We start from the raw sequence: 12,368 nt of genomic DNA on the forward strand, positions 1-12,368 counted from the left end.
GAGCGCACCAAGCCCCGCCCAGCGCAAGCGTTGCTTTTTAAAGGATTTTCCGGAAGCCTTGGCGGGAACTTCCTGCCAAGCGTGAGAACGCTGCGAACTTCCCGGAGGCCAAAAGTTGAGGGGGCTGAGCGGAGCGTGATTGGGGAGGGGCGGGCCTGGGAGACCTTGGGCGCCTCCTCTGAAAGCCTCTTGGTAGGTATCCGGTTGATGGGTGACGTGTTTGGCCGGAAAGGGAGAGCAGCAGATTGCCCCTCTGTTTTCTGATAGTGAGGATTTCTTTCCCATGCACTGAGTCGGGGCCTCCAGAGCCGCAGTGCAGGGCAGTCGAGGGTCCGCTGCAGGGCGGAGGTCACAGCCGCGCAAGTCGTCAGTCTCCGGTGCAGGGCTGCCGCTGAGTCTTCAAGAGCGAGTTTTATTATGGACAGGCGTGTGTTTATTCCTCCTCCTTTTTTCCTGCTTATGTTTCTCTTGTCCACGGTGGGTGAGGTTCGTGGTAATAAGGACTTGATAAGTGTATTATGAGATAACCACTGAATGAATTTGCACAATAGACGTGCGTGCCCTTCATCTGCCGCGTCATTTACTTGCTTTCAAAGGACTTTATTATTCACCTGCCCATTCATTTTCACTTAGTCCCACTTATCGTCAGCTTTTTAAAGAGGTGGAGTGATTCCGTGTTACAGCAACCTACAGCCCAACAAAGCCTTCAGATATCTGCCTCCAGGAGTCCAACCCTCATCCCTTTCCAAAGAACTGGTAGCGGATAGGTGCCAGCAATACCGACATTTATTGGCACAATGCTTTGCACTTTTCAAAAGACCTGTTCACAGCTCAACGGAGAAATAAATATGAGGGAATAAACACAACCAAGACAGTCCTGGGAATGCAAGGGCTAAACGCTCAATCTGAGAACTGCCACTACCTAACTGGTTTGGGCAGCGTCTACTAAGTGGTATTTCACTGTTGAGAGAGGTGATATATTAGAAGTACGAAACTTCTAATTTATTCATAAAAAATAAAATGGTAAAAAATGGGAACCCTTATCAAGGTTAAAATATCCTTAGGTCATCTAATCGAAACTGTTAAGTATAAACATTCTTAGAAAATAACGTTTGCATTGCCTCTCTCTTTTCATCTCTTAGCACGATAACAAATGCAGAGTGAGTGGAAGAATGAAATGACTCTTCAAACATCAGGAAGCAAAAATAGTTTTTTGCTACTTAAAGGCTCCACCTAATTATCTCAGTTCTTTTCACTTTGTGTATTCAAGCTACACAACTTTATACAATCGTTCTGCTGTTGAAACCCATTTTATTTTAATCCTGATCTGAGGATAGAACAGGACTGATCAGGATGTTTTTATCTCTATTAGAACAATTGTTTCCCAAGTCTGAACTTAACTTTGAATTTATCTTAACCATGGAAATGGTGAGAATCACTTGAACTCAACATGGTATATCTCTCAGTTGAGTTCTCAGAACATAAGTCATTTCAACAATATATTTTATTATTTATAAAAGGTGAAACATTTTAATAATTAAAACCTTATAGAACAATGTAAAGAATCTAGCCAGAATTTTATTTTCCCCCAAGTGCATAAGCAATTTAAGTAACACATAGAAGTGTACCTTTTATTCCTATAGTGTTATATACCAATGAGGAAACAGTAACTTTCTAAGGATACATTGTTGAATTCTTTATTAATTCAAAACATTTTAAGAAAGTCAGTGTAATGCATATGCATTTTACAATAACATCCATAGGTTTCCACAATCTAGTAAAATGAAAACAGCTGTATTTTGATTTACTTTGAAAACTCAAACCTATAGTTCGAGACTTCTGAATATTTTTACATTACTGTCATGCTCAAATTCTGTTACATGGTGAAAATTCTAGCATTTTCCAGAAGTATATTATTGTACATAGGTAAAATGATAAAATTGATTCTAGGAAGGGGGAAAAAAAAACCCAGAAAAACTTAAATTGGAGGAAACATAATCTGGATTATCTATTCAATTTGTGAATACCCACCGTTATTCTGGCATTGCAAAATAACCAAGTGTGGTGCCTCTTAAGTTGCATTCATGCATTCAAAACTTCTTTATTGTCCACTGATAAATATTGGTGGAGTACAATATATGGATATAGATTAAGTGTGATGAACATGGTAGTAAAAAATTATACACATTCGATATGTAATTTTACAAAACCAAACACATTGAATTCTTTTTAATATTTAGCAAACATTTAAAAATCATATACAAGAAAGGTGTTTATGACAAATCGGTTAAAGCTAGCGGGAAATAGGTCTTTTACATTATTTCAATATTCAGTGTTCATTGATTAGTGGAGGGCAATATAAAAATGCAATAAGCAAAATGGTTAGTTTAAATTTAAATTACCTCTTATGACAATTAGTAAGATAAGATCTTTAATATCCAAAGTATGTGGAGGATTATTGTAAATTGCGCAGACAGTTCAAGGGAAAAATTCACTTTCACCTCTATTAGGTGAATATTCAGGCTAAGACTTCTGGAGTTTTATTTTTCCACTTCACTGTATTTTCTTTATAGCATTTATTAGTAATCACTTAGTGGAACCTAATATTAGTGTTTAGAATTTGTTTAGCTCAGTGTAAATGTCCAGAAAATTTACCTTCAATATAATCTCTTTAAAAACGCATTACTTTACAGTGGAGAAATATAATAGATGCTACCTCAGCTAAGTGATCAAGGTTAACATCAACAGCTAAGAGTAGCCTAAAGTTTGAGAAACTGTCACAGCTAAGACGAGTCCCGGTGATGGCATATACCTTTGATACCATGTGATGAGCATGGCACTTTACCGTTGTGTTCTTTCAAAAACCAAAAACCTGTGTCTAGTCACGAGAAAAACATCAGACGAATCCCCATAGAAGGACATTCTACAAAATACCAGTTTATTTCTCAAAACTGTCATCAAAAACAAGGAAAGTTGCAGAAACTGTCACAGCCAAGGGAAGCCTAAGGAAACATGACAACTAAATGTAATGTGGTATCCTGAATGGGATCCTGGGACAGAAAAAGGACATTAGGTTATAAACTAAGGAAATCTGAATGAAGTATGAATGTAATGATCAATATTGGCTCATTAATGCCCATAGATGTATATGGGACCTCTCTATTTGGAGTTTTTCTGTAAATCTAAAACTACTCTAAAATAAAAGGTTTAATGGACACATTACTATTTTAAATTTTATACATTTTATTTTTTTCTTAGAGTCAGGGTCTCACTTTGTTGCATAGACATGTCTGGAACTCCTGGGCTCAAGTGATCCTCACGCCTTAGTCTCCCAAAGTGCTGGGATTGTATGCGTGAGCCACCGTGCCTGGCCCATTACCACCTTTTATTAAGTTTTTATTTTCATTGTAAAATTGTTAAAGAAAATCATACCACCTTAATATTAAAAAGAGTGTTTTCTAATTGTCAATCTCTTATAACTTAGTCTTAGCCCTATAACTCATTTATATATTTAGCAAGTAATTTGATATTATTTCTGTCCTTGGGAATGTTGTTTTATTTCCTTTGGAAATAAAACTTTCAAATGATTGATCTTATTTAAACTTTAATTTTAACCTATAATTGTATATCCATTTATCATCTATCTATCATCTATCTATCAATCATCTATCTATCTATGTCATTGAAAGAAACATTTCTATAGATTTGAGGTGATGGTGAACTGAAAGTACTGATTTGGGATCACATTATTGAGAAAAGCAGTAACACTGATATAGTGTTCCATCTTAAAACATGATTGTATGTTTTGATGAGTAGCTAAATCAGATGTTTAACGTATGTTTTGGAAAAAAATAGGGGAAAGTGCATTAAAGTGACATTTAATACAAGTATACAATAACAATTATTGACGTGATGCACTTTGATAAAATAATAATGTATGCCACACTTTATTCTTTCCACGTTTGTTTTATTTAATGCTCATAGTTATCCTGATAATTACGTATTTTATTTGTCATTTGCAGATGAGGAAATGAACTCAGAGAAGATAAATGATTTGCCCAAAGTCACATGAGACAGAAATATAACTTGAAATCAAATTTGTAATTTTAAGTTCCTGATGTTTTTACACTATGCTCCCTAAGTGAATCTGTGGACATACATTTCCATTAGTAACCTTACTCATCTTATAGCTTTTGTCATAGGAAGAAAATCAGTTCCCAAACTGGGACCTTCTATCACCTAGGGCAACATTTTGCCTTTTGTAGTGTTTTCAGTAGAGTCAAAGTCTTGAACAGCCTCTTGAATTCATCTGAAAAGATGTTACTTGGGGCTGGAGAGGACTACACCTGTAAGAGTAATAATTTCAAAAATACCTATAAATAAATCAAATCTGGGTATTCAGAAATAATACTTGTCATTGTGCACCATCTTGTGTTGCAAGGATATTTTAAGCACTGCAGGGAAAATCTGAAGCAAGTTTTGGGTTATCAGTTTTATTGATAAATATTTGCAGTTGTAGCAAGTGAAGAATTAAAAATTTTTGCAGATTGGATATTGTTTTTGCAGGAGAACAAACCCATTGGTCAGAAATTTGAAGATGGAAAACACAAAAATACATGTTTGAAAAATATACTTAGAAAATTATGGTTGTAAACTGTCAATGTAAACAGATAGGCGAAAATATTTTTTGGAAATATCTTTACCATCTTTCAAAATAATTAGGCAATGTGTCAAGATCAAAGTATTCAAAATACATGTTTGATAGGCTTCTATCTATAGGCATTTTCTGTCTAAGACTTAAAAATATTATTATTATAATTATTATTATTATTTTGAGATGGAGTCACTCTGTTGCCAAGGCTGGAGTGCAGTGGCATGATATCAGCTCACTGCGACCTCTGCCTCCTGGGTTCAAGCGATTCTCCTGCCTCAGCCTCTCAAGTAGCCGGGATTAAAGGCACCCACCACCATGCCCGGCTAATTTTGTATTTTTACTAGAGTCGGGGTTTCACCATGTTGGCCAGTCTGGTCTCAAACTCCTGAGCTCAAGTGATCCGCCCTCTTTGGCTTCCCAAAGTGCTGGGATTACAGGCTTGAGCCACTGTGCCTGGCCAAGAAATTTTAGGTGGTTTTCAAATACGTTTTATTTTTGACTTTTTTGATTGTATTTTAAATTCCTTCTCTTTTACATTTCAACACCAAAGCATCTAATAATTGGTATTTTTTGAGATATAATTTGTCACAATTACAATATGATTTTTTAAAGTATAAATAAGTTAAAGGTATAGAAAAATGGATAAACTCAAAAGTAAAAATCAGGCATTATTTTAAATTAGCTTAATGGGATGAAAATGTATTTTTGCTCCTAATAAATAAATATTATTCACTTATCCCTATAGTCCTTTGGCAAAACTGAACTATCAGGTAGATAAACAACACGTATTTCATTCTGTAAGTCAGAACCTAGGCAGCATTAAAGGATACTAATAAACATCCATGCACTAAGACGGCATATCAGAACTGGTCATTCTATGTACATATTTTAAGATTTCAAAAAAAAAAAACATCACATTATGGTCTTGACTTCTGCATTTCGTAACTTTAGTATCAAAGTTGTGTTTTGCTCTTGTTGTTCATGTGCACACTCCAACACTGTCAGAGCATCTCTACTACCTTTGGATAACATCATAACAGCCCGAGTAAAGAAGTGCCATCCATCCATTACTGGTGTGATTAATGTACAAGATCAATCTCTGAAGAAATCTGGCTCTCCAATTTATTTATATATACATAATCTGTATCCTCTACTTTCTTTTATAGATACATCTAAAGTTAGGCACTATAGAAAGTGCATTAATCTCTTTCTGTGTGCATCAGCAAATTCTAATAGTATACAAAGATACCTTGGCAATTGAAAACACAAAGTGTCCATTTTAAAGTGCTAATTTTTCCCCAGGGAGGAATTTACTCACTAGGAAAACTCAAATTCTAAGAAAACAAATATTGTGCTCTTGGAATGGTAGCATAGACACCAGTTGAAGGCTCTTTTGTTTATTTATAATAGCTCTGTAACTTAAACAGAAGGAATTATATCATACTTAGAAAATTAGTAGAGTTGCAAATATACAGACATACTCTTAAATGAGAAACCCTCCCCTCACCCAAAAATACGAGTTTAGCACAGAAATGCTCACATAGCATGGTTATCAACATCTGATGTGTAAATCTGCTCTCGAATCTTTTTTAACTCAACTTCCTCATCAGGTTTCAAAAGGATATACCAACTTTAAAATCTGTGTTCTACAAATGCCCAGGTTAGAGATTAGGACTCTTTATAACGGCCCTTATCTTTTACATTTGGTAAAATATTAAAGATATTGTCAAACAGACAATTCATCTAATAGTCCAAAGTATCTTATAAAGATAACTTATGACTAGCAGGTCACCATCATATATAGTAACAACGAGAATATAAAGTCTACATTTAAAAAGATGGATGCATGCAGTGTATCACAGTATATTACATATTTTCTAGTCATGTGCACCAATTTGTTGAGCCTCACACACAGAAACAAATATGATACTACACCATACATGTGTATATATCATAGTAGCATAATAAACTCAATTCTAAGCAAGAAAAAAATTAAATAATTTAGGAACAATAGAACTTCACAATAGAAGTGATGATTCTTTTAGGTTTTTCTTTACTCTTTAGGAAAAAATATGACTTTTTGTAAACATCTTCATAGCTATCTTTTTTTCAACATATTACTGAAAACTTATTCAAATAGTATTTAAATGACATGAATAAAATATGTCTTAACACACTAACACTTTCAGAAAACACAGGCATTTGTTAAAAGAAATGATTATTATAAATATTTTCTATCTTGCATTTTAACTGCATTTTCATAAATAACGTATTTAAAAGTGCTGAATATGGTAGGATAGTCAGCAACGCCAGTGTAAACAGAATATTTTGTTTTCTACTCTGCAATTTTTAAAAAATCCCATTTTGTCAAACACTGCAACAGTTAAAATATTTGCATAGGGAATAGATAATAGCCCTTTTATTCATGTCTCCTGAATTCTATATAAATTAGAAAATCATACTTGCTTAAAAAAACCATTTTTGAAATGTTTTAAGTTTATGGAAAAAGAAACTTGTGATGCCAACCTTTCAAGTAAAATAAATTTAAAAAGAAACCCCCAAACTTGTTTTTTTAAAAAATATGTTTAATAAATTAAAAAATGAGAGGTAGTTAAAAAAATGACAAAGAAAACCTGTAACTGTAATATCATCCTTAATATAAGGCCAGTGTTCTCAGTGGATATAAATCTTTTTAAAACTTTCATTTTAGGTTACTCAGTATTATATTCATTCAGTTTAATATTAAAAAAATAGTCTTCAGGGGATATTAATATTCAAATGTAACACTTTGATATAAATATGACACTGATTATTTTAATTATCACTTTTATGCATGACAGAATATTGTTTCCTTGAAGGTCAGAAGTACATGACAATGTCAGGCAAGTGTTTTGTCGTAAAGATTTAGTGTACTTATAAAAAATAATATGGCAGCTGGAAGATTTGAGCACTGTACTGCCTTTTAATGATGGATGAAAACTAATAGTTTGGTTTAAACATCTTTAAAATGTCATCCTTAAGATATTATGTGAAAACAGTTAAGGTCTGAAGTAGAGGATTATTTTCTTCATAACCCTTATAAAACTTTTCCTGGTAAAAACTTAGCTTTTCATTGGATTTCACTTTCAAGGAAAATATGCCACAGGACAGATGCTATTCATCAAAATGTTTTACAGTGCTACATGTAGGCATTCCTTTATTAAGTCCTTTTCTTTATATTCCAAAACTAAGTTATCAAGCTTATTATTATTTTTTTCTTGCTGAAGTACATAACTTTACACAACCATTTTAAAACTGGAGAGCCAGTCTTTAATAAATTAATTACAGTATTGGACATCTGATATATACATAAATTCATTTTCTTCTATTACAGTTAAAAGCAATATCACTCTTTTGATTTGTCATTGAGATAGGATATCTTCAAATTGTTTTGTGCTTTTTTCCTTCTTCCCTTTTTTTTTTTTTTTGTTTTTTGCTTTTAGCATAGTAAACTCTCCTGTAATGAAAATGCCACAGTTTTGGCAGTGAACAACCAGAGGAATCCCCATTAGGATTTTCCAACAAACAGAGATAAATAGCTCTTTTTCATGTACAGAAATATTGGCTTCAAAATTAGTGTACTAAACACAGTATATAGAATGTTGAATACCATTGTTACATAGTAAAAATTGCTTTTTTTCTGTCTTAGATTATGTTAAAAAATGCAAACCATGGCCGATTTTTTTGGCAATTATTTCTTAAGACCATATTGCACAAAAGTCCTTAAATACAGATATAAGTTATGCTACTGGATTAAATATTACAACAACTATGTGGCAAATGAAGCATTTTACTTTGCACATGCAGTCTCTGGAGATACACGAGGAGACTGTTCATAGGACTACAAATACACTTTGCTTGCAAGTAGAATGAGTCTTGAATAAAACAAACAATTTGGCAATTCATTGTTTTGTGTGGTATTTTCTCCAAACTTAACCATGGAAAACCTTGATAAAAATGGAGACAAAGACCATAACGGTTGTGTTTTCACAGTAGCCTGAGGAATGCTAAACTGTAGTTCTCCAGGAACTCAGTTTCTGATGTTATTTAACTACTTTTATTTCCCATCTCAGCCCTCCAAAATGATTGTTTTTAAATGAACATTAAGATTCAGAAGAAGAGCCAGCAGTACTTTCAACAAATGACTTATAAATTTGAGAGTTCAAAAACCTTGGAAAAGAATCTCTGTGCATTAAAGTATATATCTGAAGTTGGGCATCTTCATACATGTGAGGATTGGGATCCAACAGATTTCTATTGATCACCTCTCTAACTCGAGAATCAAGACTGACCTAAAAAGAAACAAGAGCAAATACATTAAATAATATTTTTTTCAAAAGACCTCAATTAAGTAACTGTAGGTTTGTGACATTTTAGAGAAACTTTAAAGAGCAAATCCAACTACCAAAAGTCTTGGGTTCATCTTTTGAGACTACACAACCTTATGTACTTTTCTCCTTCAAAATTTGCACTAAATAAAAAAATCCAATTAAGTCTTTTAAACCAGAAATTTAGTTTACAGATGTCTTTGCTTACTTGGTTTTATGGTTTCTATGCATTCATTCAGGAGTTTTTGACAATTTCTAATCATGGTTGAGATACCAGAAATTTCCTAGCCAGAATGTGAATTCACCTCCTGCTATTCTGTGACTGGGGGAGGTTGGCAATATTGATAAGAAGATAAAAATCTACTGGCAGAAAAGAGTTCCCTGGCAAAAATTAACATGCATATAAAATGCCAACTCCCCACAGTTTTGTATCCTAACAAGTCCTACTGTGTCAAAAGTAGGAAACCAAGAGTGTGGCAGGGCATGCAATGAGCAGGTATGCTTCAGGTCTCACATCTACCTGGCAAGGACTAGCAAACATCCTTATATATCCAAAGACCTCTTACTAACGATGAAGCAGATCAGTTGCTTGGAGTGAGATCTTTGAGAGGAGAAATAGGAATAGGAATGCAGAATGACCATTAAGATAATCAATACAGTGTTATTTGAAAAGTGTACAAAAATTAAATTCTGCAATGATTTAGGATCTTCCCCCTTCCTCACTAAATGCAAATCCTCTTGGAACTGGTAAAACATGTTGGAAAGGGAAATGGGGAAAAATACTTGGCAATAAGGGCATGGTTGGAGGAACAGAACTAAAGCCCTGCGCTGAAACACCATGTTAGAACAACCCTACAAGTGGTAAACAACCACTCAAAGTCCAGATTGTTTTCCTCGATCCTCACTGTTTAGCAAGGAATAGGACCTGTGAACCATAGTTATTTCATGACATATTCACATAAAACCTTCCATATTTATATTTAAACATGTTGTCATAAGCATTCTGCAAATGCCTTTTAGTTCTGGCTTCTTTTCCCACCACTGTTCAGACTAAGTCTGGGAACTAATACAGTCTCTTATTGAAGCCTCTCCTATTCCATCCAGTGTCCCCAGGTTCCTGACCTCAACAGACCACGTGGATTTGGGTTGATTGCTACACCCCAGGGATGGCTACTAGATTTGTTGGGAGATGGCAATCCAGACTACATTTCTGTGGCTTAGCCAGACCAACTCATACAGGGACACCTCATTTTACTGCACTTCCCTTTATTTAGTTTTTCGCAGATACTGCGTTTGTTACAAATTGAAGGCTTGTGGCGATCCTGTGTCAAGGAAGTCGACTGGCACCATTTTTCCAATAGCGTGTGCTCACTCTGTGTCTCTGTGTCACATTTTGGTAGTTCCCATAATATTTCACAATTTTCATCATTATTATATATTTTAAGGTGATCTGTGATCAGTGACCTTCGATGTTACTCTTGCAATTGTTTTAGGAGGCCATGAACCATGCCCATATAAGACTTAATTAATTCTTAATTGATGACTATAGTGTGTATACTGACTGTTCCACTGACCTGCTATTCCCATATCTTTGTCCCTCTCCTCAGGCCTCCCTATTTCCCACAGAGAAAACAATATTGAAATTAGGCCAGTTAATAACCCGCCAGTGGCCTCTAAGTGTTTAAGTGAAAGGAAGATTCACACATCTGTCACATTAAATAAAAAGCTAAGAAATGGTTAGTTAAACTTAATGAGGAAGGCATGTCGAAAGCTGAGACTGGTCAAAAGCTGGGCCTCTTTTGAAAGTTAGCCAAGTTGTGTAGGCAAAGGAAATGTTCTCAAAGGAAATTAAAAGTGTTACTCCAGTGAACATGTGAATAAGAAAGCAAAACAACCTGTTGCTGAAATGTAAAAAGTCTGAGTGGTCTGGATAGAAGATCAAACAAGCCACAACATTCCCTTAAGCCAAACCCTAATCCAGAGCAAGGTCCTAACTCTCTTCAATTCTGTGGAGACTGAGAGAGGTAAGGAAGCTGTGTAAGAAAAGTTTGAAGCTCACAGATGTTGGTTCATGAGGTGTAGGGAAAGAAGTTATCTCCATAACATAAAAGTTCAAGGTGAAGCAGCAAATGGCTGATGTAGAAACTGCAGTAATTTATTCAGAAGATCTAGCTAAGATAATTGATGGAGGTGGCTACACTAAACAGCAGGTTTTCAGTATAGACAAAACAGCCTTATATTGGAAGAAGATGCTATCTAGGACTTTCAGAGCCAGAGAGAAGTCAATGCCTGATTTCAAAGATTCAAGGACAGGCTGACTCTGCTGTTAAGGGCTAATACTAACTGGTAACTTTAAACAGATACGAATGCTTATTTACCATTCTGTAAATCCTAGAGCCCTTAAGAATTATGCTAAATCTACTCTGCCTGTGAACTATAAATGGAACAACAAAGCCTAGATGACAGCACATCTGTTTATAGCATGTCTTACTGGGTGTTTTAAGCCCACTGTCGAGCCCTACTGCTCAAAGAAAAAAAAGATTCCTTTTAAAGTTCTACTGCTCATTGACAATGCTCCTGGTCATCCGAGAGCTTTGATGAAGATGCACGAGGAAATTAGTATTGTTTTCATGCCTGCTAACACAGCATCCATTCTGCAGCCCATGGATCAAGAAGTAATTTCAACTCACAAGTATTATTTAAGAAATACATTTCAGAGGCCAGGCGCGGTGGCTCACGCCTGTAATCCCAGCACTTTGGGAGGCTGAAGTGGGTGGATCACGAGGTTAGGAGATCGAGACCATCCTGGCTAACACGGTGAAAACCCGTCTCTACTAAAAATACGAAAAATTAGCCAGGTGTGGTGGTGGGTGCCTGTAGTCCCAGCTACTTGGGAGGCTGAGGCAGGAGAATGGCGTGAACCTGGGAGGCAGAGCTTGCAGTGAGTCTTGATCGCGTTGCTGCACTCCAGACTGGGCTACAGAGTGAGACTCCGTCTCAAAAAAAAAAAAAAAAGAAACCCATTTCATAAAGCTATCGCCGCCATAGTGATTCCTCTGATAGATCTAGGCAAAGCAAATGAAAAACCTTCTGGAAAGAATTCACCATTCTAGTCATTAAGAACATTTGTGATTCATCGAAGGAGGTCAAAATATCAACATTAACAGGAATTTAGAAAAAGTTGATTCCAACCCTCCTGGATGATTTTGAGGAGTTCAAGACTTCAGTGGAGGAACTAACTGCAGATGTGGTGGAAATGGTAATAGAACTAGAATTAGAAGTGGAGCCTGAGGATAGGACTGATTGCTCCGATTTCATAATAAAACTCTAAAGAATAGGGGCTTGCT

The 12,368-nt window shown here is 35.3% G+C and overlaps 1 protein-coding gene across 4 annotated transcripts in view, besides 2 other annotated features; it reads right to left on the reverse strand.

Moving 5' to 3' along the window:
- Positions 89-1,089: an enhancer, noted in NCBI's record as "NANOG-H3K27ac hESC enhancer chr6:153324001-153325001 (GRCh37/hg19 assembly coordinates)". NCBI's record gives its function as "activates a minimal SCP1, AML or CMV promoter by ChIP-STARR-seq in naive H9 embryonic stem cells {active_cell/tissue: H9 hESC(naive)}" and the evidence as "EXISTENCE:reporter gene assay evidence [ECO:0000049][PMID:30033119]".
- Positions 180-289: an enhancer, noted in NCBI's record as "active region_25294". NCBI's record gives its function as "activates an Ori minimal core promoter by ATAC-STARR-seq in GM12878 lymphoblastoid cells {active_cell/tissue: GM12878}" and the evidence as "EXISTENCE:reporter gene assay evidence [ECO:0000049][PMID:35858748]".
- Positions 1,682-12,368, reverse strand: part of RGS17 (regulator of G protein signaling 17) — a 126,824-nt gene continuing 116,137 nt past the window's right edge. For all 4 annotated transcript variants that reach the window (NM_012419.5, XM_047418634.1, XM_047418636.1 and 1 more), the window contains exon 5: positions 1,682-8,985. In NM_012419.5, the coding sequence (NP_036551.3) occupies positions 8,797-8,985 (189 nt within the window). In that variant the 3' untranslated portion in view covers positions 1,682-8,796. The remainder of the gene's footprint in view (positions 8,986-12,368) is intronic.

Source organism: Homo sapiens, chromosome 6 (assembly GCF_000001405.40).
Source record: "Homo sapiens chromosome 6, GRCh38.p14 Primary Assembly".
NCBI lineage: Eukaryota > Metazoa > Chordata > Mammalia > Primates > Hominidae > Homo > Homo sapiens.